Source organism: Homo sapiens, chromosome 1, assembly GCF_000001405.40.
Source record: "Homo sapiens chromosome 1, GRCh38.p14 Primary Assembly".
Lineage (NCBI taxonomy): Eukaryota > Metazoa > Chordata > Mammalia > Primates > Hominidae > Homo > Homo sapiens.
In genome coordinates, this window is record NC_000001.11 from 213,035,378 (window position 1) to 213,062,938 (window position 27,561).

General features: G+C 40.1%; 1 protein-coding gene across 46 annotated transcripts in view, besides 3 other annotated features; it reads left to right on the forward strand.

Moving 5' to 3' along the window:
* Nucleotides 9,830-10,788: a transcriptional cis regulatory region, noted in NCBI's record as "candidate enhancer chr1.11646 targeted for multiplex CRISPR interference". NCBI's record gives its function as "positively regulates RPS6KC1 gene expression with high confidence in K562 cells {active_cell/tissue: K562}" and the evidence as "EXISTENCE:mutant phenotype evidence [ECO:0000015][PMID:30612741]".
* RPS6KC1 (ribosomal protein S6 kinase C1) overlaps nt 15,864-27,561 on the forward strand; it is an 811,495-nt gene continuing 799,797 nt past the window's right edge. For 43 of the 46 annotated variants that reach the window (XR_007058661.1, XR_007058662.1, NR_146210.2 and 40 more), the window contains exon 1: nt 15,864-16,132. Coding sequence is in view for 12 of the 46 variants with exons in the window: in XM_047417936.1 (XP_047273892.1) it covers nt 16,028-16,132 (105 nt within the window). In the remaining 34 variants the exon portion in view is untranslated. Of the gene's footprint in view, nt 16,133-22,380; nt 26,151-27,561 lie in introns of those variants that run through there. The other 3 variants (XM_017001024.2, XM_047417912.1, XM_047417919.1) reach the window with 1 other exon arrangement.
* Nucleotides 15,993-16,092: a silencer, noted in NCBI's record as "silent region_1809". NCBI's record gives its function as "represses an Ori minimal core promoter by ATAC-STARR-seq in GM12878 lymphoblastoid cells {active_cell/tissue: GM12878}" and the evidence as "EXISTENCE:reporter gene assay evidence [ECO:0000049][PMID:35858748]".
* Nucleotides 22,394-22,553: a silencer, noted in NCBI's record as "fragment chr1:213231113-213231272 (GRCh37/hg19 assembly coordinates)". NCBI's record gives its function as "represses an EF-1alpha promoter that drives an FKBP-Casp9 reporter gene in an ReSE screen in phorbol 12-myristate 13-acetate-treated (for megakaryocytic differentiation) K562 erythroleukemia cells {active_cell/tissue: K562(+PMA)}" and the evidence as "EXISTENCE:reporter gene assay evidence [ECO:0000049][PMID:32094911]".

Sequence of the window (27,561 nt, forward strand, 5' to 3'; positions counted from 1 at the left end):
GCTTCAGCCCCTCAAGTAGCTGGGACTATAGGCATACACCACCACGCCATGCTAATTGTATTTTTTGTAGAGAATGGATTTCACCATGTTGCCCAGGTGGGTCTCAAACTCCTGAGCTCAAGCCATCCACCTGCCTTGGTCTCCCAAAGTGCTGGGATTTGTGAGCCACCATGCCCAGCCATGGGAATCAAATTTCAGCATGAGTTTTGGAGGGGACAAAGTCAAACCCATAGTACCTCTTATAAAACAGAATTTGGCAAAATATAGATTGCGAGGAAAAGCTAAAAAATAAGGATGAAAAGCCCATTCAGAATGTCTCTCAACTCCCACACATGTACTTGTACTTTGCTCTCAGCCTCCAAATCCTGGAAAATGTTTCTGTATAACCTACCAACTCTTTCAGTAAAAATATCCCAGGTTGTCATGGTGACATAGTTTTTCCCGTACAGAACCTTATAGTCTGGTATGGTAGTTTCCTAATTTTTTATGGTTGTGGAATTCTTTCTTTCTTTTTGGTACTATTTCTTATTTTTCCAGCTGAATATTATATCTAGGCTTGCTGAAGTGGTAGCAAATTATAGATTTAATTTGAAGCAGGGCAGATTTAACCAATGGTCTTATAGTCATCAGTAAGTCAGTCTATAACGCTGATAGAGTACTCCATGAGTATGTGTTCTGCAGTGGTCCTTGATGAAAACATCATAGCACTTAGCCCTTGCTAGAATTTCTAATTTCTTTCTCTAACATGTGTAGACTAAGAACTTTTGATGTCCAGGCTTTTAAAACAGAAGAACAGTGATAGGAATTTGGTAGTCAGGATATAAAATTTAAGTTAGCCCTTCTCTTTCCTCCATCCCTAAATCCCTCTTTTTTTTTTTTTGTCACCCAGGCTGGAATGCAGTGGTGCAGTCTTGGCTCACTGCAACCTCCGCCTCCCTGGTTCAAGCGATTCTCCTGCCTCAGCCTCCTGAGTAGCTGGGACTACAGGCGTGTGCCACCACATCCAGCTAATTTTTGTATTTTTAATAGAGATGGGGTTTCACCATGTCGGCTGATCTCAAACTCCTGACCTCGTGATATGCCTGCCTCAGCCTCCCAAAGTGCTGGGATTACAGGCGTGAGCCACTGCACCTGGCCAACCCTTTCTTATTTCTACCTCTCAGCCCCAGAATAGGGCTTTGCAGATTTGTGAGAACTTACACTACAGAGACTTGTGGATGTTATGTAATTGAGCTCATCTCTAGCAGATGACCTTACTGCCTGGCCTGGTTTGTTTTAGGGTTCCTAAAATGGTTTTTCTCGAAAGGTATTAAGAAGCAAGAGCCAATCTAAGGGGCTCCTTAGACCCAGGAAAGAATGAAGAGGCTGAGCAATGGAAAGTCAGAGGAGAAATGAGAGAGCTGCATGTAAGAATGAGCAAAAGTGCTTTCTGTGATTGTCTGATATCCATTTGAGGAGAGAAACCATGTCTATTGTTTGTTAAATAATGAATAAATAAATGGCTATTTGGTGGTCACGTATTCTGCCTCTGCCCATGCCAAAGCTAGATATTGATCTGGAAGTAGTGTATGTTCTTAAGGATGATTAACATCAAGGAGCAAGGTATGTATCCTTTTGTTCCTTTTAATGAATGTTTTGTTTATTGATATCTAAACCTTGGGTGTCTGGAATACTGGAGGTTAAAAAAATGATTTAAGGGACTCTTTGAGCTATTATAATATTTTGAAAAAAATCTAATAGAAATTGAAGAAAAATTCACAGCCATAAAGCGAAAGTTCACCAAAACCTTGTGTTTTTGTTTTTGACTGATAATATATAAGTTTAATATAGTAAGATTTGTTATTCTGGTCAGAAGCTCAGATCTGTCAATGACTTCAATTGACAAAGACAAAAAAAGATGATATTATTGTTGTTATATTAATATTTAATATATTTAATTTAGTTATACATTAATTGCCTTTTATTTGTGATTAATTATACTGGACAGCCTCCATTCCACAAAATAGAATTAGAACTTCCGGCCAGACATGGTGGCTCACGCCTGTAATCCCAGCAATTTGGGAGGCCAAGGCAGGCGGATCATGAGGTCAAGAGATTGAGACCATCCTGACCAACCAACATGGTGAAACCCTGTCTCTACAAAAAATACAAAAATTAGTTGGGCGTAGTGGCACACGCCTGTAGTCCCAGCTACTCAAGAGGCTGAGGCAGAAGAACCACTTGAACCCGGGAGGCGGAGGTTGCAGTGAGCTGAGATAGTGCCATTGCACTCCAGCTGGGGTGACAGAGCAAGACTCCGTCTCAAAAAAAAAAAGAGAGAAAAAAATAGAAAAGAAAAGAAAGAAAAGAACTTCCATTGGCTAATAACAGAAAAATGGGTTTTGGAAGATGGGAGCAATGAAACAGAACAATAGAAAAAAAAAAAGAAAACCTGGCCTGTAATCCCAGCATTTTGGGAGGCCGGCGTGGGTAGATCACCTGAGGTCAGGAGTTCGAGACCAGCCTGGCCAACATGGTGAAACCCCTTGTCTACTAAAAATGCAAAAATTATCTGGGCATGGTGGTGCACACCTATAATCCCAGCTACTCGGGAGGCTGAGACAGGAGAATCGCCTGAACCTGGGAGGTGGAGGTTGCAGTGAGCTGAGATCACGCCCTTGTACTCCAGCCTGGGCAACAAGAGTGAAACTCCATCTCGGGAAAAAAAAACAAAAACAACAACAACAACAACAAAAAAAACCTAATTGGTTAACATTGGGTTACTTTTTTGTAAAGGATAATGCAGAAGAGACTTCCTTACGATGACTCAGTTAGACTAGAATCTCTTGTTTTCAGAAAAGAAACTGGTATTATTTGGAACCTATCTACTTCCTTAAACTTTCAGTTTGGTTAGGTGGCGTTTAGGATGAGTGACTCCATTTTGGTTTGGTTTGTTTTGGGCCCATTGCAGGAGCTCAGTTCAAACAACGACCTTTCATAATCTTGTTCAACAATTCTTCCCTTTTTGGTCAGGCTCTCTCCTAGGTGGGAGTGTGACCAAAACTCTGAGAGTGTTAGCGCTACTCTCAGTTACCACCACTCTGGGTTTCCAGTCTCAATACACCATTCATAGGTTACAATGTCCTCATGATAATACATTTCTTTGTTCCAGCCAAAGAGAGATTATTTGACATTTGATGGATGACTGCATGCAAACATTTAAAGCTTTTTTTTTTTTTTTTTTTTTTTTTTTTTTTTTTTTTTTGAGACGGAGTCTCGCTGTCGCCCAGGCTGGAGTGCAGTGGCGCAATCTCGGCTCACTGCAGGCTCCGCCCCCTGGGGTTCACGCCATTCTCCTGCCTCAGCCTCCCGAGTAGCTGGGACTACAGGCGCCCGCCACCTCGCCCGGCTAATTTTTTGTATTTTTAGTAGAGACGGGGTTTCACCGTGTTAGCCAGGATGGTCTCGATCTCCTGACCTCGTGATCCGCCCGCCTCGGCCTCCCAAAGTGCTGGGATTACAGGCGTGAGCCACCGCGCCCGGCCACATTTAAAGCTTTTGAGAGAATACAGCATACCAGAGAGACTTCTGTTATGACTATCAGAAGGGTAATCCAAAAGTTTGGAGTATACTCTTGAGCCAGGATCCCCATGAACCAAACCAATTAAAATTGATTAGATCACAGAGAGAGCCAGATGAGGAGTCTACTCATTTTAACCAAGTAGCCTGTTTGTTAATTTTTGCAAATGAGGCTCTACAATATCTGATGTATTTATCCATGTGCAACAAGAAATGTCAGCAACTGCACAGACTCATCCTATTCAGTTAGCAGATAATCTAGCATCCCATGACGGGGTTAAATTAAAACAGGGAATGAGAACAAGTGGATCTAGAAGTTTAACTCTATAAAAGAGACCATAAGTACAATTTGAAAAAAAACAGTGGCATTAGGGATGTTGCTAAAGTTAGCCAATGGGTGAACTAATGGATCTTGAAAGCCATGTAAAGATTCAGGTTTGACATGATGGATCCAACACTTCAAGTTGCCTGCAGAAGCTACTGACTGTGAAATTCTAATTACAGCATTATCCTGCCAAGTGAAAGAGGTAGGTATAAGCAAAGAAAAATTAAGAGAGGGAAGAGTCTCATTACGATGGGGAGTCTGTTCTGATATCTTGGGAAAAGCTGTCCAAAGCATGAAGTCATCAACTTCCCATGGCCTTCTATAATTTTCATTTAACAGTTGTAAACTGTCTTATATCAGCATTCACCATTTCATAATTTCTAGAAATATATTTCCTCCATTTTCCATGTTAATTAACAGATCCAAATATATTTAGCTTCTTTATACTGTACAAAAACAAGATGCCAATATATATTTTTAAATTAAGTTCAACAATTAATGTTTCAGTATTTTAACTTACTCAGAAATGACTCAGACATTTCATGGATCTCTATCTCTTATATAATATAGCTAAGATTTCAAGTTATGAAAAAGAATTCTGTAATTATTACATTAGCCTAACTTACTCATTCTTAACAATTATGTTTGAATTGCTCATGGCAAACAAGGCTGGCCATCATCTGAAGTTACTTTTTAACAAGTCAGGCAAGTATCAAAAATATCACAGAAGCAAAGAAATGAAAAAGTTAAGTATGATTTTTCCCTCTGTTTTTCCTTTCATTAATGACATGCATTAACCAATTTATTTTCATCATGCATTCGGCTCCTAGGTTGGATTTATAGTTTTGTGACCTTAACCATCTAGGAGATAAAACTTGTTTGACTAGTAAGCCTATGTTTTAAAACTGCATGCTTGGGCCAGGTGCAGTGGCTCATGCTTGTAATCCCAGCACTTCGGGAGGCCGAGGTGGGCGGATCATGAGGTCAGGAGTTCGAGACAAGCCTGGCCAACATGGAGAAACCCCGTCTCTACTAAAAATACAAAAATTAGCTGGGTTTGGTGGTGCATGCCTGTAGTCCCAGCTACTTGGGAGGCTGAGGCAGAAGAATCACTTGAACCCGGGAGGCGGAGGTTGCAGTGAGCCAAGATTACACCACTGCATGCCAGCCTAGGCAACAGAGTGAGACTCCATCTCAAAAAAAAAAAAAAAAAAAAAGAGCTTAGAGCGAGCATGTTGCCTGTTAACAAAGATTAGTGTCATTGAGGCTGTGGAGTAGCTTTTAGGTCCAAATGTATCAAAAACTCACCTGAGTGACAAAGCATCCATTTCTGCTAAATCTGGATTTGATGTATTTTCCTCTAATTTGGTCTTGAGGTTGTCTCTGTAGAGTGGCTATGAATTCTAGCCCTGTCCTGGTGGAAAGCCAAGAGATTTGGTCATGGATATTTACAGTATGCCTTTCATGGGATACTTCTTTATCCTGGAATGCCGCCTAACACCTAAATGCCTGATCTGCAATGTGTCCCTCTGAAAGGAAACTTGTTTATACTGCAGATGCCCATGTGGCTCCATGATTGACCTGTGTCCAGTTTATTCCTATCATGAGAGCCACTTTCTAGGAGAGCCCTGACTAGGAGAAGAGTTAGGCTCAGCTGTGTCAGTCAGGTGAGACACAGAGGCAGGCGCCTGTAATCATAGCTACTTGGAGGCAGGAGAATCGCTTGAACCCGGGAAGTGGAGGTTGCAGTGAACTCATCAGATAGGGCCACTGCACTCCAGCCTGGGCGACAGAGGGAGAAAAAAAAAAAAGAAAAAAGAAATTAGCTGCACATTGTGGTGAGCGCCTGTAATCCCAGCTACTCAGGAGGCTGAGGCAGGAGAATCGCTTGAACCCGCGAGGTGGAGATTGCAGTGAGCCAAGATGGTGCCACTGCACTCCAGCCTGGGTGACAGTGTGAGAGTCCATCTCAAAAAAAAAAAAAAAAAAAAAAAAGAAGTTCAAGATCAAGGTGTCAGCAGAGTTGTTTTCTTCTGAGGGCTTCTCTTCCTGGCTTTTAAATTTACTAATACTAACTTACTAATACTAATTGGGATACAACATGCCCATAGATGCCTATCATCTTTGTCTTCAAATGGTCTTTCCTCTGTGTTCTAGTTTCCTCTTCTTGTAAGGACATAAGTCATATTGGATAGGGCTCATCCATATAATTTCATTTTACCTTGATTGCCTCTTTAAAGGCTCTATCTTTAAATACAATCACATTCCGAGGTACTGCAGGCAGAACTTCTCAGTATATGAATTCTGCAGGGACACAGTTCAGCCCATAACACCATCCTAATGAATGTGAATTTGTAGGTCATTGTGGTTTTGATGTGCATTTCCCTGATGACTAATGCTACATCTTTTCATGTGCTTATTGGCCATGGGTATGGATTCTTTGGAGAAACATTTTCAGATCATTTGCCTATTTTAAAATTGAGTTATTTATCCTTCTATTGTTGGGTTGAAAGAGTTCTTTATATATTCTGGATACTAGACTCTAGTCAGATACATGATTTGCATATATTTTCTCCCATTCTGTAGATTCTCTTTTCACTTTGATAGTGTTCTTTGACACACAAAAGCTTTTAATTTTGATGAATTCCATCTTATCTATTTTTACTTTGCCTGCTTGTGCTTTTTGGTGTCATAGCAAACCATTTCCTGTTACAAGGCCATGAAGATACACACTTATGTTTCCTTCTAAGAGCTTTATGCTTTTACCTCTTACATTTCCATCTTTAGTCTATTTTGAGTTAATTTTAGTATGTGGTGTTAGGAGGGGTCTAAATTCATTATTTTACATGTGAATATCTAGTTTTCCCAGCACCATTTGTTGAAGACTATTTCTCTGCTCTCCCCATCTCTCCTTCCTATTGATTGCTTTTTGTTGAAAATCGCTTGACTGTAAACATATGGATATATGTCTGAACTCACAACTCTATGCCATTATCTATACAGTTACCTTTATACCAGTATCACACTGCCTTGATTACTGTAGATTTGTAGTGAGTTTTGAAATCAGGACATGTGAATTCTCCAATCTTTATTAACATTGTTTTGCTATTCAGAGTCCTTTGCATTTCCATATGAATTTTAAGATCAACTTGTTCCTTTCTGTTAAAAAAAAAAGTTGAAATTTTAATAGGGATTGCACTGAATTTGTATTCAATTTGGGGAGTATTGCCATCTTAATGACTTTCTCTCAATATTTTATTGTTTTAGGTGTACGAGCATTACATTTCCTTTGTTAAATTTATTCCCATTAGCCAGGTGTGGTGGTGCACGCCTGTAGTCCCAGCTACTTGGGAAGCTGAGGCAGGAGAATCGCTTGAACCTAGGAGGAAGAGATTGCAGTGAGCTCAGATTGTACCACTGCACTCCAGCCTGGATGACAGAGCAAGACTCTGTCTCAAAAATAAATAAAATAAATAAATAAATTTATTTCCAAATACTTTATTATTTTTGACAGTGTTGTAAGTAGAATTATTTTCTTAATTTCAGTTTTGGATTGTTCATTGTTAGTGTATAGAAATACAATTAATTTTTATATAAGGGCCTTGTATCTTTCAACTTTGCTAAACTTATTCTTTGGCTCTAAAAGCTTTTTGAGAGTGTGTGTAGATTCTTTAGAGTTTTCTATATATAAGATCATGTTGGCTGGGTTTGGTGGTTCACACTTGTAATCCCAGCACTTTGGGAAGTTGAGGCAGGTGGATCACTTGAGCCCAGGAGTTTGAGACCTCCCTGGGCAACATGGCAAAACTACATCTCTACAAAAAATACGAAAATTAGTCGGGCATGGTGGTGCATACCTGTAGACCCAGCTACTGGGGAGGCCGAGGTGGGAGGATCACATGAAGCAGAGGGAGAGGGTTGGGGGAGGTGGGGAGGTGAGGAGGTGGGTTGAGACTGCAGTGAGCCATGATTTTAAAAAACAACAACAACAACAAAACCTAAAAACAAACAACTTTGGCTGGATGCTGTGGCTCATACCTGTAGTTCCAGCACTTTGAGAGGCAAAGGCAGGCAGATTGCTTGAGTCCAGGAGTTCAAGACTAGCCTGGGCAACATGGTGAGACTCCATCTACACAAAAAATACAAAAATTAGGGGGGCATGGTGGTGCACACCTGTAATCTTAGCTACTTTGGAGGCTGAGGTGAGAGGATTACTTGAGCCCGGGATGTCGAGGCTGTAATGAGTCAAGATTGCGCCACTGCACTCCAGCCTGGGTGACAGAATGAGGCCCTGTCTCAATTAAAAAAAAATCGTATCATCTGACAATAAAGATTGTTTCACCTCTACCTTTCCAACCTGGATGACTTTTATTTCTTTTTCTTGTCTAATTGCCTCCGCCAGAACTACCAATACAATATTGAATGGATGTGGAGGAGCGGACATCCTTGTCTTGCTCCTGCTTAGGGGGAAAGCTTTCAGTTTTTCACCATTGAGAATGATGTTAGCTGTGGGTTTTTCATCAGTGCCCTTTTTCAGTTTGAGGAAGTTCCCCTTCTATTCCTAGTTGGTTGTGTATTCTTAACATGAAAGGATGTTGGATTTTGTCAAATGTCTTTTCTGCATCTATTGAGATGATCCTGTATTTTTTCCCTTTATACTATCAATATGGTGTATTACATTGATTTACTTTCATATATTGAACCAACTTTGCATTTTGGAGATAAATCCCACATGTTCATGTCATGTAATCCTTTTACTGTGCTGCTAGATTTGGTCTGTGAGTTTTCAGTTGAGGATATTCACAAGGAAATTTTTTTTCTTGTGATTATTTGGCTGTGGTACCTGGGTAATACTGGCCTCATAAAATGAGTTGGAAAGTATTCTCTTTTCTTCTTTTATTTGACAGAGTTTGAGAAAGATTGACGTTAATTCTTCTTTAACACTCAGTTTCACTGAATTCATTGGAAAAAGCTTCTAATCCCAGGCTTTTTGTTTGTTGACATTTTTTTGATACAGACTTAATGTCTTTACTGGTCTATTCTGACATTTTTGTCTTCTTGAGTCGGTTTTGGCTTTGTCTTTCGTTCCTTTAGACGTGGTTTTCTTTAGCTTTTTGGATGTATTTAAAGTAGCCAATTTAAAATTTATGTCTAGTAAGACCAACATCTGAGCTTCCTCATGGACATAGTTTTTAATTGATTGCTTTTTTATCTGTGTATGGGTCACACTTTTTGTTTTTTATAATGCTTCATAAATTTTTGTTGAAAAATTAATTATTTTAAATATTCTAATATGACAACTCTGAAAGTCAGATTATCTCTCCTTCCTAGAGTTCATTGTTAGTGCTTATTGTAGTAGTTGTTTATTTAGTTTTCTGAACTAATTCTGTTAAATCTGTTATTTGTTGTGTGTGACCACTAAAGTCTCTGTTCCGTTAGCTTATTAATTAGGCAGAGATTGGACAGCAAATGATTGGACAGTGATTTCCTTAGGTGCTGGAACCAAAAAAACAGCTCCCAGTCTTTGCAGAGAGGCCCTGTTTTTATTTTATTTTATTTCTATTTTTTACGGTGACAGGGTCTCACTATATTGCCCAGGCTAGTCTCAGACTCCTGGGCTCAAGGGATCCACCTACCTTAGCCTCCAAAGTGCTGGGATTATAGGCACGAGCCACCGCGCCTGGCCTTATTTTATTTTTATTTACTTATTTATTTTGAGACACCGTCTTGCTATATCATCCAGGTTGGCATGCAGTGGCATGATCTTAACTTACCACAACCTGTGCCTCCCAGGCTCCAGCAATTCTCTTGTTTCAGCCTCCTGAGTAGCTGGGACTACAGGTGTACGCCACTATGTTGGGGACCAGCCTCAACACCACCTGTAGGGTACTCGAAGTCCGGTGGTGACAAAGGAATGAGAAGAGACAGCTTAAGAGTTTATAAAGGTGGGAGCCAGGGGGCCAGTTGCAAAATGGAGGCTGCAAAAGGTTTAGAGCTCTGGTCTCTATACTATTTATTGAGTACAATTACTTAGATTTAAGAAGCAGATTTTTAGGGCGAAACAGTGAAAGGGTTGCAGTGCGTCATAGGCGTAATTTATAGTAATAGCGGTTTAAATGAATCTCCTTTGTGCTCAAACAGCGTATCTTTAACTATCAGAGAGCAGCTAGTGGGAGCGGCTTAACTAGGAGCCTGCATGTCTGTCTACATTTCAGTGTTTTAAAGGAGTGTCTTTCTCCCTGAACACAGTGTTTACAGATAAGAGAGCGGGTCTAGTTCTGAGCATGGGAACATGATGGCAATTAGGAGGCTTTCCTCCTCAGAGGCCTCTTGCGGCTTTCCACAACTTAATGTCCCATATTTTTATGGCCAGTTCATACAGGCACCCCACAAGCCCTTTTCCTGAATGAGAAGAGACAGGTTGAGAGTTTGTAAAGGTGGGAGCCAGGGGGCCAGTTGCAAAATGGAGGCTGCAAACAGTTCAGAGCTCTGGTCTCCACACTATTTATTGAGTACAATCACTTAGATCTAAGAAGCACATGTTCAAGGCGAAACAGTGAAAGGGTTGCAGTGCGTCATAGGCGTAATTTATAGTAATAGCGGTTTAAATGAATCTCCTTTATGCTCAAACAGCATATCTTTAACTTATCGGAGAGTAGCTAGTGGGAGCGGCTTAACTAGGAGCCTGCATGTCTGTCTACATTTCAGTGTTTTAAAGGAGTGTCTTTCTCCCTGAACACAGTGTTTACAGATAAGACAGCTGGTCTCTCTCTGAGCATGGGAACTTGATGGCAATTAGGAGGTTTTCCTCCTCAGAGGCCTTTTGTGGCTTTCCACAACCTATTGTCCATATTTTTATGGTCAGTTTATACAGGCACTCCACAAGCCCTTTTCCCAACACCACTATGCCCTGCTATTTTTTTTTTTTTTTTTTTTTTTTTTTTTTGCATTTTCTTGTAGAGATGGGGCCTCACTATGTTTCCCAGGCTGGTCTTGAACTCCTGGGCTCAAGTGATCCACCTGCCTCAGCCTCTCAAAGTGCTGGGATTATAGGTGTAAGCCACTGCACCCTGCAGAGGCCCTGTTTTTATGCAGGTGTACATCTTCAACACTCAGCCAGGCAGTTTACAACCCTGCCTTAGTCTTCTCATCTTGCTTGTACAGAGCTTCAAGTTTGGCTAGATGTGAAAGCTTAAAGCCTTCTCAAGTCTTTCCTGAGCATCTGCGTAGCTCTGGTCATGTGCATGGTCTTCTAGATTCTCAAGAATATATTGGAACTTTTCAAGGCCCTTATTCTTCCAAAGCTTCTCATTCTCCAGCCTTTTCTCTCAAGCTTCTTGGGCAGTCGATTGTTTGCTCAGCTGTTATCCATTACTTCAGGGAGCAAAGACAAACACATTTACCTATAAATATTTGTGGAAAAATGTCCCCTGGTTAATGGCTTTAGCGTTGGGACAAGGTGAAGATAAGCCTTTTGAGTTGGTCTTCTGAAAGCCACCAGACAAATAAGACCAGATATTTATTTATTTATAGTAATAATTACTATTCTATAAAAATGAGGTCTCTTCTCCCTCAGAACTAGTTGTAGGAATGTTGGCTGTTATTTTCAAGGATATCCCTGAGTTGAGGAGCAGGGGATGGGCCTAGGGTTAGTTAAAATGCCAGAAAGTTTGCTGTTCTTAGAGATTCAGCCTATTTTCTTTCTTTCTTTTTTTTTTCTTTTTTGAGACAGAGTCTCGCTCTGTCGCCCAGGCTGGAGTGCAGTGGCGTGATCTCAATTCACTGCAACCTCCGCCTCCCAGGTTCAAGCAATTCTCCTGCCTCAGTCTCCCGAATAGCTGGGACTACAAGTGCCCACCACCACACCCGGCTAATTTTTTGACTATTTAGTAGAGACGAGGTTTTACCATGTTGGCCAGGCTGGTCTCAAACTCCTGACCTCGTGATCCGCCCGCCTCCGCCTCCCCAAGTGTTGGGATTACAGGTATGAGCCACCACGCCCAGCTGAGATTCAGCCTATTTTCTTAAATAAGTGTTCCTGGGTTGCTGTAAGCTTTTGGTTAGTTTCCAGAGTTCTGAAAGAGTTAATACTGAGAGTTTTTGTTAGTTTTTTCATAGTTTATGTGGAGCAGTGAACTTTTGGAGTTCCCCCTAACAAAGAATCAGTTTTTGGTTTCATTGGTTTTTCTTTATTGCTTTTCTCTTTTTCTATTTCATTGTTTTTCTCTTTTTAAAAAAATTTCATTGAGTTATTACTCTTTTCTTTATGTTTTATTCCTTATTCTTGCTCTAGGGTTCAATATTTTTTTTTCTAGCTTCTTAAAGTAGAAGCTTAGTTCATGACCCTTCTTCTTGTCTACTATAAGCCATCAAGGTTATACATTTCCCTCTAAGCACTGCATTAGCTGTGTCCCACACATTATGATATGCTTCCATTTTCATTCAATTCCAAATATGTTTAAAAGTTTTTGTCACTTATTTTTGATCCAGGCATCTTTAAGAATTGTATTTACTTTCCAAATATTCATGAATTTTATGGGTAACTTTCTATTATTAACTTCTAGTTTAATTCCCTGAGGTCACAGAGCAAATCCAATTTATATTGGTTTTAAAAATTTTGTTAACATTTATTTATTTATTTATTGAGACGGAGTTTCGCTCTTGTTGCCCAGGCTGGAGTGCAATGGTGCGATCTCAGCCCACTGCAACCTCCGCCTCCCGGGTTCAAGTGATTCTCCTGCCTCAGCCTCCTGAGTAGCTGGGATTACAGGCATGTGCCACCATGCCTGGCTAATTTTGTATTTTTAGTAGAGACAGGGTTTTTCTACATTGGTCAGACTGGTCTCCAACTCCCAACCTCAGGCTATCTGCCCACCTTGGCCTCCCAAAGTGCTGAGATTACAGGCATAAGCCACTGCGCCCAGCCTGTTAACATTTATTTTATAGCCCAGGATATGGCCTGACTTGTTGAATGTTTTCTGTACACTTGAAACAAACATTTTCTGCTACTATTGAGTGGCGTGTTCTATAAATGTCTATCAGGTAGAGTTGGTTGATAGAGCTTTTCAGGTTTTCTGTATCCTTATTCATTTATTTGTTTACATGTTTTGTCAATTACCGAGAGAGGAGCGTTGAAATCTTTTTTGTTTTTTTTGAGACAGATTCTTGCTCTATTGCCCACGCTAGAGTGCAGTTGCATGATCTTGGCTCACTGCAACCTCCACCTCCCTGGTTCAAGTGATTCTTGTGCTTCAGCCTCCCAAGTGACTGGGGTTACAGGAATGTGCCACCACGCCGGCTAATTTTTGTATTTTTAGTAGAGATGAGGTTTTGCCATGTTGGCCAGGCTGGTCTTGAACTCCTGGCCTCAAGTGATCTACCCACTTCAGCCTTCTAAAGTGCTAGGATTACAGGCATGTGCCACCATGCCAGGCCTGAGTGTTGAAATTTTAACTATAATTGTGGATTTGTCTATTTCTTCTTTTAGTTCTAATCGTTTTTGCTTTTTACATTTTTAGTTTTGTTATTAGGTATATACACATTTAGAATTGCTCTGTCTTCTTTATGAATTGAATTCTTTAAGTTTTGTCCTTCTTTATTCCTGATCATATTTCTTTGTCTTAAGTATTTCTAGTAGTGTTTTCGTGGCACATGTTTTTCCACTTTTTAAATTTTTAATCAATAATATCTGGTAAATCAAAGAAACTCAGAGAACATGGAGAGGAAGTTGCTAAGGATGATATCAAATAGCTAACTAATGTAATTAAATGGAGAGTAAAACCAGTCATGGAGATAGAAATAGGTATATGAGGGGAAAAAATGTTGAGATTTTGATTTGTTCTGTTTCCAGTGTTAGATATATAATAAAGATGTAGGTAAAGTGAGTCAAGTCCTGGAAGAGAGATATGCTGGGAGATAGACATTTGCAAGTCAATGGGAATAAAGAACAAAGGATCAAAGGCAAAATCTTGAGAAACAAGAATACTAAAAGTTCTTGGAAGGAATAGAAACCAGCAAAGGAGACTGAAAAAAGAGCAAGTCATCTGAGTATAAAAGAGAAAAGAGAAATAATGCTGACTCATATGCTAAGAATATACAAAAGTTTTAAAAAGGTAGAAATGGTCAGAGACTTTCAAAATCCAGAAATATTGGGCAAATTGAGGTCACTGGAAACTGTTTTCAGAGCAGTTTCAGAGTAGCAATATAGAGGTGAAACCAGATTGAATTGGACATGGGAATAAATGGGTGATGATGCAATGTTGATGTAGATTACTTTAAAATCAACTTAAACAACTTTGACGGTGAGTGGAAGGAGAAAGAAAGGAAGAAAAGAAGGCAAAATGAATAATGCCCTTTACTCCCTTCTCTCCTGGCTAACTCCCATCTCTCTTCCAAGACTCAGTCTTCTATCAGAAAGCCTTAGGCGATCTTCCATCCTGAATTGATGTGCTCTTTAGTACTCCATATATACATTCACCATGGTACTTATCACAGTATATTTTGTGTCTTTATTTTTCCTACTAGATGGTACTTGAGAACAGGGACTATCTACCTTTTTTTTTTTTTTTTTTTTTTTGAGAGAAGTCTTGCTCTTGTCCCCCAGGCTGAAGTGCAATGGTGCGATCTTGGCTCACCGAAACCTCCACCTCCCGGGTTCAAACGACTCTTTTGCCTCAGCCTCCCAAGTAGCTGGGATTGCAGGCGCCTGCCACCACGCCTGGCTAATTTTTTGTATTTTTAGTAGAGACGGGGTTTCACCATGTTGGCCAGGCTGGTCTCGAACTCCTGACCTGAGGTAATCCGCCCGCCTCGGCCTCCCAAAGTGTTGGGATTACAGGCGTGAGCCACCGCGCCCGGTCGGAGAACAGGGACTATCTTTGTAACTCCAATGCCAAATTGGCATCATGTCTGGCACATAGTAGGTGGTGAATTCAGGTTTAATGAATGACTAATAGACTTAGATATATGTAGGTTGAAAAGAAGGAGCCAGTGGTGAGAAAGAGATTAAACATACAGAAAGGAGATTTGGAATGTCATTGAAACAGTGTCTTAAGGTTTGCCAAAGAGGATGGGATTCAGATCACATGTGGAGTCATTAGCTGTAAAAATGAGCAAGTGATATGTGTACGTTTCAGACTGGCATGGAAATGTGAGAAGACAAAGGAATTGGTACTAAGGGCCATAGCTGCTTCTTCCTCTTCTTTTTTCCCTGTAAAGAAGAGTGGTGGTGCGGAGAGTAGGGAGGCAAAAGGAAGAGGAACAGAGTCTTTAGGATAATGGCAAAGACTTGGCATGAATATTTTGTGGAATGAAAAGGAACCTTGATCACAAAAAGATAAAGGAACTGCCAAGCGTTGATAACAACCTCAGCTGAAATTGGAAACTGTAGTGAGTGACTCGGAGAGGTCGAGTGACATATTTCTTTCTTCTAGCCAGAGGCGGACTCCAGATTTTCGAACCTGTGGGGATTTTTAAAAGATTGATATTGGCTTGGGAGCTTTTTTGGGTTGGGGGCTTGCTGTGCAGATGTGTTACAGAAAGGCGCTCAATGGAAGGAAATTCGTCTTAGAAAGAAGTAAGGGATATGTCTCAGAGAATGAGATGTTGCTGTGGGTATTTAAAATGATAGGCTGTGAATAGGTAAGGAAAGAAGGTGCTAGGCTATGGTATCTCTCCATCCCTTCAACACTCCACTTAAGTTTGTACCACGGCGGGGCGGAGGCAGGGAGGACCACGCTCTCCCGGTGTGGCGTGGCTATACCAACTCTCATAAAATCTCATAAAAGGTGACGGAGCTAGCGTACAAGAGGTCGTCTTTAGTGGAGAGGCCTGAGGTCTCCGCAGTGACGGGGGTGGCAGCGCGACCCCTTAGTCTTCAACTACAGGCCAGTCCCAGGTGCCCCAAAGGGGCTAGAATCTAAGGAGGAGTCTCCCCTCCCCCTAGAAGCGGGAGATAGCCTGGCCCGGAAGCTTCTCTGCTGACCCGGAAGCAGAGCTGTGCAGCTGAGGCGCCGCCGTGGAGCCGCCTTGGAGCCACCGCCCCCTCGCCGCTTCGCCGCTGCGTTGGGGAACCTGGACCGCGGCGGCGCCGGGTTTCCCTCATGATCCCGGGCGGGTGGCGGCGGCGGCAGAGGCGGCGGGAGGATGACCTCTTACCGGGAGCGGAGTGCCGACCTGGCCCGTTTCTACACTGTCACCGAGCCCCAGCGACACCCGAGGGGCTACACAGTATATAAGGTCACCGCCCGGGTGAGTGCCGGTGTCGGGCTGGGGTAGAGCTTGGATTGGGACCTGAGGATCTGGGGTGGGGACCCTGATGTGAGGGTACCTGACTCTGGCTCAGAGCCGAGGGTGGGACTGGGTGCTGCTCCTACTGGCGGGACTTGGGTGTCGGAGGTTGGGATTTTTAGAGTAGTGGCTGAGTGTGATATGCCCAGGGCTTCACTGTAGTAGGTCGTGGTAGAGTCCTCTTTCTGGGGGTGGGGCAGTCAGTGGTTGATGGTTTTAAATTGATGACTCAGTTCCCATCCCGTTTGGACTTTCTCTTCTGAGTTCGCAATTTGCAGAAGTGGTTTTGCTTGCTCCAGGAAGATAATGCAGATTAAAAAGTGTTAATTTATGTATTGTTTGGCTTATGTAATATAAGTTGTTTTTTCTCTTGACCTTTATCAGGTTTGCTGTGAGAAAGACAGATTCTTGGGACAGATGTCAGTGTTAGGCCACCAACCTAGGAACTGTGGATCCGGGCTTTGTCAAACCTTTGAGTTTTTCATGTTTTTCAGTAGGAGACGTGAAAAAAATCTGCTGAGGGTGGCTTGTGTGAGCTACCATGAGGGCACATTTTAAAGTTGGGAGGCTCCTTTACATCAACTAACTGGTCCAATTTTTAGTACCCACTTTATGTTTCATTGCTTTTGCCTTGAGTTTTAAAGAGAGTCTGCATCTTCTAGGAAAGTAAGAATAAATCAAAATTAAATAAGTATATATGTATGTGACGTATGTGTGCATGAATATATGTGTATAGTAGGCATTTTATGCACATCACCCAATTTAATTCTCATTTTAATGAGGAAGAAATAGATTAAAGCAAGTTTAGTAACTTGCCCAACTTTACATTGCAAGGCAGTAGCAGATCTGTCTGGGATCTGAAACCAGTTTTGCCTAACTCCAAGTTATATAAAATGTTAATAATTAACTTTATCAATTTTTAAAGAAGAGAGGTACAGATTAAGTAACAGTAGTTCAATATACATTTGGAGGATGTAAAGCAGGCCTTCAGAATAATTTTTTTTTTTTTGAGACGGAGTTTCGCTCTTGTTGCCCAGGCTGGAGTGCAATGGCATGATCTCTGCTCACCGCAACCTCTGCCTCCTGAGTTCAAGCGATTCTCCTACCTCAGCCTCCCGAGTAGCTGGGATTACAGGCATGTGCTACCATGCCCTGATAATTTTTTGTATTTTTAGTAGAGATGGGGTTTCTGCATGTTGCTCAGGCTCATTTCGAAGTCCTGACCTCAGTTGATCCGCCTGCCTCGGCCTCCCAAAGTGCTGGGATTACAGGCATGAGCCACCACACCCAGCCTGAGAAGAATCTTAAAGGTTAAATAGATCAGTTTGGGGCATGGGAGTGGCACGTGATGTATGGAAATGGTGCACAATTCAGATAAATGTGAGAAGGAGGGATAGATGAACATGTCTGTATAAAGATAATGAGAAGACCTGACCTGCTATTGCCGATTGCTGTTCGGAGAATAGAGGGATGTTTGTTGCTCCCTGCTTGCACTTAAGGTTGTTACATGGGTGGAATGTTAGTTTCAGGTTGTGTAAGAAATTTTGTGAGAGTGAGGGGCCCTTATTATACCACTCTTGAAACCTTTCTAGTCATTGGGCCCTTTGAAAATCTAGGCTTAGTTTCCTAACACATAGTGTATGGAATCAGAACAGTTTTCAACATACGTAATGTTTCTCTCACAGCATCCTACTTATCCGTTAATTTAACAGGAAAGTTATATTGTATTAATTTAGTTGCATGTCTGTGTCTCTTAGTGGATTTAGAGCAGTTCTCTATCATTGGCATTTGTTTCTGCTTATATCAAATAATAGATAAAAGAACATGCATGTGCATGGCACACAGTGCCTGAAAAACATTGTTGAATGTTTTCCTCTTCATTGTACGGAGCACACCCAATAAATGTTTAGATCCAGGCACTAAATACTGAGGGACATAAGGCTGAATAAAGCAGGGATCTTTATTCCTTTCAAGGATACTCATAGTAGAAGAGAGTTTAGTATACTTAAGTGTGATATAACACAGGAAGTTCCAGCAGACACTACAGAAAAGGGCTGTGGGAAGACAGATTGCTTCTGGATCAAGAGATTGGGGAATATGTACCAATCAAGATAGTTGAAAGAGGGGAAGAATCCAGAAAAGGAGAGGGTATGAAAAGGTAGACAGTTGAAGGGGTAGAGTCCATAAAGACCTGGAGGTATGAATGTGTGTGGAACTGGAATTGGAAGCACTGAGTATAATTATTTGTATTGTTACTTTACAAAAGGAAAGGTTAACCAAATTCAGAATTTTTTTTTTTTTTTTCCAAGGCGTAGTCTCGCTCTCTTGCCCAGGCTGGAGTGCAGTGGCGCTATCTCAGCTTACAGTAACCTCGCCTCCTGGGTTCAAGTGATTCTCCTGTCTCAGCCACTCAAGTAGCTGGGATTACAGGCGCCCTCCACCATACCCGGCTAATTTGTCTATTTTTTGTAGAGACGAGGTTTCGCCTTGTTGTCCAGTCTGGTCTCGAACTCCTGACCTCAGGTGATCCACCCACCTCAGCCTCCCAAAGTGCTGGGATTACAGGCGTGAGCCACCGCATTGGCCAAATTCAGATCTTAAATATCTGAAGCTGTGACCTATTTACTGAGCTAAGTTTTGACAATATAAACTAGAAGATAAAGTAGCACATTGCCTTAGAACTAACCACATTTATATATATGCATGTTACATATTGCTCTGGTTATTTGAACTTGAAAATTGCACAGACTGCCTTTTTTCTTCCCGTAAATATTTATGTCTTCATTTATTGCTTATGTTACAGATTTTGTTTTTAAAATGTAAGGTCTGAGAGTCAACGTGGAGACATACTTTTAAAATAACTGTGCTTAGTATTATAAAATATTTCTTGAGAGTTAAGGAGAAAAACACCTTTTTTCAGGATAATTAACCAGGTAAATAGTGCTCTCCTGAGAGAACTTCATGAGATAAAAATTAAGAATGTCTTCTGTATATTTTCTACTACTGATTTACTTCTAGCTTCAAGGAACAATTTTCTATATTTTTGATCCTTGCAGGGTTATTTCTGTAGGAGTAGAGTTTTAATCATTGGAAGTACCAATGTTAAATTTTGGATAGCAAAAGAGCTTTTTCATCTTCTTAAATCTCCTTTGTGCTTTTTTGCAGTTCTCTGAAATCTGGCAAGGTTAGATGATTTTGAGGCCAGTTGCAAGCATACTAACAGATTCTGCAGTTAAACTCAGTGTTATTTCTTAATTTTTATGTAGAATAAGTACCTCTATTCAGAATTGGAAAATTCTTTCATAAGTTCCCTTTGATTCTTTAGTTGAAGGAGACACAAGTGTAAGAGAACCATCAGCAGTGTTTTCAGTTATTTCATCATGCTAAGTTTACAAAATTCTCATATTGTAGTATAGATTTCTCAGCAACAGTAGGTGAATGGCAGTTCTTGCCTGTATTCTTTCCATGAGTATAAAAGGTATGTTTTTATTCTCAAAAGACAGTGCTGTATTATAACTTATTTAATTTACATTGAGTCATAATTTATATACAGTAAAATTCACCCATTGTAAGTGTCCAATTTGATGAGTTTTGACAAATGTATACAGTTGTGTAACTACCCATGTTCATCACTGCACAAGTTCCCTCATGTTCCTTTGCAGTCAGTCACTCCCCCTCATTCCCTATCTCTAGGCAACCACTGGTTTGCTTTCTGTCACTATAGATTGGGTTGTATTTTCTAGAATTTTGTATACAAGGAATCATATAGTATGCACTTTTTTTTTTTGGTCTGGCTTCTTCCACTCAGTATGATTATTTGAGATTTATCCATGTTGTCATGTGTTTCATTCCCTTTTATTGCTGACTCATATTCCATTGTATGGTTATACTGCATTTTATCTGTATATACTGCATTTTATCTGATGGATATTTGGGTTGTTTCCAGTTTTTGGACATTATGAATACAGCTATTATGAACATTCATATACAAGTCTTTGTATGGACATATGGTTTTATTTCTCATGATACCACATGGCTTTGTTTATGTAGCTTTATACTAAGTTTTGAAATCAGGTAGTCTAAGTACTCTTTCTTTCTCAAAATTGTTCTGGCTATTCTAGATTGTTTGCATTTGTGTATAAAATTTAGAATCAGCTTGTCTGGTTTCTACAAAAATGCCTGTCCAGATTTTGATTGGGATTATATTGAGAATGTAGATGAATTTCAGAAGAATTGATATCTTAATAATATTGTCTCTGATCCATGAACATAATATATCTCCTCATTTATTTAGCTCTTCAGTATGAGCAGTGCTTTGTAATTCTCAGGATACAGTCTTGCACATGTTTATTTTTATTTATTGATCTTTTTCAGAGATGGGGGTTTCACTGCATCACCCAGGCTCGAGTGCAGTGACGCAATCATAGCTTACTGCAGGTTGAACTCTTGGGTTCAAGTGTTACTCCCTCCTCAGCCTATTGCCTGGGATTGTGGGCACAAGCTACCTCATTGGCTTTGCACCTATTTAAAGTAGTTTGGGTTTATTTTGAAACCAGGAGAATGTATAAATCCTAGTTTTATTATACGTAGCTAGTGTTTGTTGAGTAATAACAGCAAACACTTACATGGTGCTTACTGAGTCAAGCAGTTTATATTAAATTAACACATTTGTCACAGGGGCCCGGTGAGTAGGTACCATTATCATTTCCACATTTTCAATGAGGAAATTGAGGCACAGAGACGTTTAGTAACTTGTCCAGGGTCATATAGCCAGCAAGTGGTAGAGTCTACATTTGAACCCAGGTAGACTGGTCCCAATCACAGTGCTTTTAATCCCAATGCTATGCTGCTGAATACCTGTATTATAAAACATTTTTCATTAGGTGCTGTGAGTGTGCATATGGGGACACCTATGTGTCCCCACAAGGGCATTACTATAGTTTGGCAAAAGTGATGGATACGTGAATAATAAGTAACTGTGATGATGTGAACAAAGGGGAGTGAGGGAATTAATGGGAAGTACTGAGCTTCACTTAAGTCTGAAAAATTACCATTTCCAAAGCTTCAAATCGAAGCACTATTTATATTGCTTGGAGGGAACCTGTCCTCATTTCCTGACCATATTCTTAAGCAGCCTGCTTGTGCCTGGGAATGGAATTATTTGTAGTTTCCAAATTAGGTTAGAACACTACATTCTTCCATATCTCTCTGTTAGATGCTATTTTCTCTGTCTGGAATACTCTTTCCTTTTGTCTTGGCAATCTCTGCTCATCTCAGGTGTCAGCTATACCCTGTGTTCCGGGAAGCTTTTTTTTTTTTTTTTAGGCGTTGCTCTCTATATGTCTTGTATCTCCTCCGTTATCATAATGTACTTGTTTGACACCTCTTCTGATGGCAGACTCTATTCTTTTTTGAGAGTCTCACTCTGTCACCCAGGCTGGAGTGTAGTGGAACGATCACGGCTCACTCTAGCCTTGACTTTGCAGGCTCAAGCAATCCTCCCACCTCAGCCTCCCTAGTAGCTGGAACTACGGGAACATGCCACCCTGCCTGACTAATTTTTGTATTTTTTTTAAGAGACGGGGTTTCACCATGTTGCCCAGGCTGATCTTGAACTCCTGAGCTCAAGTGATCCACCCATCTCAGCCTCCCAAAGTGCTGGGATTACAGGCGTGAGCCACCATGCCCGGCTGACTCTGTCTTTTTAACTGTATATTCTTGGTGCCTAGCACAGAGCTTGGACTATAGTAGGGATTTCAGGGTAGGCTGGAAGGAGGCAGCGCTTTGCTTTTCAAGTATTGATTTTTAAATTAACATACAATGAAATTGACTTATTCTTTTGTATAATTCTTTGAATCTTAACATGAGTATAAATTCATTTATCTACCACCATAATCAAGAAACAGAAGTTTCATCATCCTAAAAAAACTCCACCCTTCCCCCTACTCCTTATACCCTGGCAAGCAGCGATCTATCTATACTACTATACTTTTGTCTTTTTGAGAATGTCATATAAATAGAATCATATAGTATTTAGCCTTTTAGACTGATAATTTGCCTATTTTTTTCTTTGGGTTGTTTGTTTCTTACTCCTGAGTTTTGAGAGTTCTTTATGTTCTGGGTATCTTTTTTTTGGGGTTTGATATGACATTTGTAAATATTTTCTCCTGATCTAGAGCATATCTTTTAATTCTCTGAAGTATCTTTTTTTTTTTTTTTTTTTTTTTTCCTTTGAGACAGAGTCTCCCTCTGTTGTCCAGGCTGGAGTGCAGTGGCGTGATCATGGCTCACTGTAGCCTTGACCTCCTGAGCTCAAGCAATTCTCCCACCTCTCAGCCTCCTGAGTGGCTGGGACTACAGGAATGTGCCACTGTGCCCAGCTAATTTTTGTATTTTTTAAATAGAGACCCAGTTTCACCATGTTGTCCAGGCTGGTCTCAAACTCCTGGTCTCAAGCAATCTGCCTGTCTTGGCCTTCCAAAGTGCTGGGATTACAGACGTGCGCCTGACCTTTTTTTTTTTTTTTTTTTTTTTTTTAGAGATGGGGTCTTGCTGTGTTGCCAGGGCTGGAATGCAGTGCTTATTCGCAGGTGTGATCATAGTGTGCTACAGCCTCGACCTCCTAGGCTGAAGTGATACCCACCTCAGCCTTCCAAGTAGCTAGGACTACAGGTATGCCACTGCACCCAGACAGTGTTTTTGCAAAGCACAATTTGTAATTTTGGTGAAGTCCAGTTTATCAGTTCTTTATTTTATGAACCATGCTTTTAGTGTCATACCTAAAATCTCTGCCTAACCTCAGGTTACAAATATTTTTCCCAATGTTTTCTTCTAGATAACTTATTTCTTTGCATTTTATATTTTGCTCTATGATCCATTTTGAGGTTTTTTTTTTTGTTTTTTGTTTTTTTATAAGGTGTAAGGTTTGGGTGAAGGTTCTGTTTTTGCCTCTGGTTGTCCCATTGCAACAAAACACCATTTGTTCAAGAGACTAACCTTTCTTCGTTGAATTGCCTTTATTCCTTTGCCAAAAGTCAATTGACTATATATGTGTAAAGCTGTTTCTGGATTCTCTTATTTTGTTCCATACCATACAATCTTGATTATTATAGCTTTATACTATATCTTAAAATTAGGCAATATTGTTTCTCCAATTTTATTCTTTTTCAAAATTATTTTGACTACCCTAGTTCCTTTGCTTTTTCATATATATTTTAGAATCAGTTTATCTATAGCTACAAAAAATCCTTTTGGGATTTGATTAGGAGTGCATTAAATCTGTAGATCACTTTAGGGAAAAATGGACATCTTTTCTATGTTGAATCTTCAAATCTATGAACACAGTATGTCTTGCAGTTTATTTGTGTTCTCTGATCTCTTCTATCAGCATTTTGTGGTTTTGAGCAAATTGCTTCTCTGTATATTTTGTTAGATTTATTCCCCACTATTTCGTATTTTTGTAGCTATTGTCAATAGTATTTTTAAAAATCTTGGTTTTCAGCTTTTCTTTGCTAATATATAGAAATTTGGTTCATTTTTGTGTTGTCTTTATATCACGTGACTTTTTTTAAATTATACTTTAAGTTTTAGGGTACATGTGCACAACGTGCAGGTTAGTTACATATGTATACATGTGCCATGTTGGTGTATCATGTGACCTTTCAAACTGACTTATTAGTTCTAAGACTTTTTAGTAGAATTCTTGGTTTTTTCCTGCATAGACAATCTGTGTTGTCTGCCAAAAGGCATAGTTTTATTTATTCTTTCCAAAATGTATGTCTTTTATTTCTTTTTCTTGCTTTATTACACTGGCTATGACTTGTAGTCCACAGTCTTGAATAGGAGTGGTGAGAGTAGACTTCCTTGCCTTGTTCTTGATGTTAGGAGGAAAGCATTCAGTCTTTTATCCTCTAGTATAATTTTCACGGTAGAGTTTTTGTGTATGGGAGGCTGCATGTTTTATTTATTTATATATATATATTTTGAGACAGAGTCTCACTTGTCATCCAGGCTGGAATGCAGTGGTGCGATCTCAGCTCACTGCAGCCTCCGCCTTCCGGGTTCAAGTGATTCTCCTGCCTCAGCCTCCCGAGTAGCTGGGATTACAGGCATGTGCTACCACACCGGCTAATTTTTTTTTTTTGAGACGCATCTCGCTCTGTTGCCCAGGCTGGAGTGCAATGGCGTGATCTTGGCTCACTGCAACCTCTGCCTCCCGGGTTCAAGCAATTCTCTTGCCTCAGCCTCCTGAGTAGGTGAGACTACAGGCACCCGCCACCGTGCCCAGCTAATTTTTATGTGTTTAATAGAGATGGGGTTTCATCATGTTGACCAGGATGGTCTCCATCTATTGACCTCGTGATCTGCCTGCCTCGGCCTCCCAAAGTGCTGGGATTACAGGCGTGAGCCACTGCGCCTGGCCACACCCGGCTGATTTTTTTGTATTTTTAGTTGAGACGGGGTTTTGCCATGTTGGCCAGGCTGGTCTCTAACTCCTGGCCTCAGGTGATCCGCCCACCTCAGCCTCCCAAAGTGCTGGGATTGCCGGTGTGAACCACCGCGTCCAGCTGCATGTTTTACTTTTTAGTTTTGTTAGCTTTTAAATTTTGAAGTAATATGTAGTCATACACATTTCAAGCAATAATTTGAGTCACTTTAAAGGAAAAAAGAAAGAACCTACTAAATTTTAAATCCTTAACCTGTTAGGATTATTAACAAATGTCTGATATTAAGGCAGTGGGAGTTGTTAGATTTCAGTTGTTAAATCAGTAGCTTCTTGAAGATTTCTTGAATAAATACTTAGTTTTGGCTTAATCTGGAGATATTTTCAACAAACAAAATAATCATAGGGATAGGGAGGGCAATTAGTTTGTTGTAAAATATATTTATGCTTAAAATTTTTGAAAAATGGCTCTCAAGGTGTCTTGTGTTTTCTAGAGTCTAGTTTTATTCTACTGTTCCTTTGTTTTTAACTTGTAATATTGTTTAGTAGAAAACTTTCTAATATACCAAAAATTTCAGTAAATGGAACTTAAAAAATGTAAACCATTCCTGATTTCATCTTGTTTGTTGACAACTTGTCTCAGATATTAAGATTTTATATTAAACTGCAGACTTTCTTTAACATTAAGGATTTTGATTTTCCTTGAACCTTGATTGGAAAATAGTTTAGAATACTGCTATAATTGGTAAAATTTGAGGTGAGAAAAATAACTTTAGCAAACATATACTGAGTATCTAGAGATAACTTGCAGTTTTAGCTTCTTTACTCTCCCTGAGATTTTGGGATTTTAATAATCTAGAAAGCCACAACTCCTTACTGTCTTTGTCAGTTTGGATTTTTATAACAAGATATTATAGACTAGATGGCTTCAACAATAGACATTTCTTTCCCACAGTTCTGAAGGCTGCAGGCTGGGAAGTCCAAGACCAAGAGGCCAGCAGATTTAATACCTGATGAGGGCCCGCTTCCTGATTTGCATACAGCTGCCTTCTTGCTGTATGGTCTCATGGCTGAGAGAGATCATTGTCTTTTTCTTGTAAGCGCAGTAATCCCATCATGAAGTTCCCACCCTCATGACCTGATTACCTCTGGAAGGCCTCACATCCACATCCATCACATTGGGGATGAGAGTTTCAACATGAAATTCAATATGAATTTTAGGAGAAACACAAACATTCAGTCTGTAGTACTTTTGACATAATGCTTTCGTGAAAACTTGTTAGAAAGTTGAATGTCTAAAATTTGTCCCATTGACTTATCTATCTTATATGGGAGTTCTTTCACTCCAGAGAACTAAAAATTATAAAATGTCTAATTATGGTTTGTGCAGGTGTTGCCTCTTGGGTCCAGACTGCCTGGCTGGTGGGTGATAACCAGCCCAAATATTCTTGCCAACCAGTGCCACCTGTGGCTCTGCAGGGAAGAGCGGGAGAGAAGAACTCAGGTGCAGGTGGTCATGAAAGGGAGGTTGAGTTGGTAAGGTAACAATTGCCTATGTGAGCTGGGTGCTTTGACCTACTTTTCCTGCAAGACTTGGGTGTTTTTTTTTTTTTGTATGTATGAAGTCCAGTTTAAATATGTCAGTATGTTAACATGAAAGTATGGATTTTAAATATCTGAAAATCAGGAATGCATGCATTATATTGATGAATGTGCCACTTGGTATACCTAATCACCACAAGGAGAAATGTTCAGAATAGTGTAGCCTTCCATTTCTGCATATTATTCCTGTCCCACATTCAGAGATTCATATCTTTGAAAAATGAAAAGAGTGGACATGTTTTCCATGTTTGATTATTTGTACCTTGACACTTAGTGTAATTACTAGTATTAATTTTGTCACTTTTTCTTCTTAGCTCTGCTACCCTTAACTAGCAGCTGAACAGTGATAGTGAAGTAGCCCTCAGAAGACTTGATTACAATACTTTGCTTATAAAAGTAGCTTCTTAAATTTTATGTTTAACTTCTTATCAATACTAGTTTCTAAAGGGGCTTATTTTATCTTTTTTTTTAACCTAGGAAATACTATAAGTTTGAATAATTTTTGTAGTTTTGTTTTCTAGTACAGGTTAGCATCCCTATTCTGAAAGTTTGAAATCCAAAATGCTCCAAAATCTAAAACTTTTTGAGTGTCAAATGATGCTACAGGTATAAAATTTCACACTTGACCTCATGTGATAGGTTGCAGTCATGCACACAATTATTAAAAATACTGTATAAAATTACTTTCAGGCTCTGTATATAAAGGTATATATGAAACAAATGAATTTTGTGTTTAGTCTTGGGTCATGTCCCCAATATATTTCATGTATGTGCAAATATTCCAAAATCCAAAAAAAATACAAAATCTGAAACACTTCTTGTCTCATGCATTTTGGAAAAAGGATATTCCACCTGTAGCTACTCTTTGTTAATCTTAACAAAAAATACAGCTTTTTGTATATGTCTGAGTTAACAGAGTGATTTCTAATCATCATTATGGTGATAATCAGATAAGAGAGTGCTTTTGAATCTTTTTTTTTTTGGGGCGGAGTCTCGCTCTGTCACCAGGCTGGAGTACAGTGGTGCGATCTTGGCTCTCTGCAACCTCTGCCTCCCGGGTTCAAGGTATTCTCCTGCCTCAGTCTCTCGAGCAGCTGGGACTACAGGCGAGCCCCACCACACCCAGCTAATTTTTGTATTTTTAGTAGAGACAGGGTTTCACCATGTTGGCCAGGATGGTCTCATTCTTGACCTTGTGATCCGCCAGCCTCGGCCTCCCAAGGTGCTGGGATTACAGGCGTGAGCCATCGCATCCGGGCAAGAGAGTGCTTTTGACCTGACTTTTAAGGAAACATGGTAATATTTATTAAGAAGTAGATAGAATAAGTTAGCATACTGGAAAGGA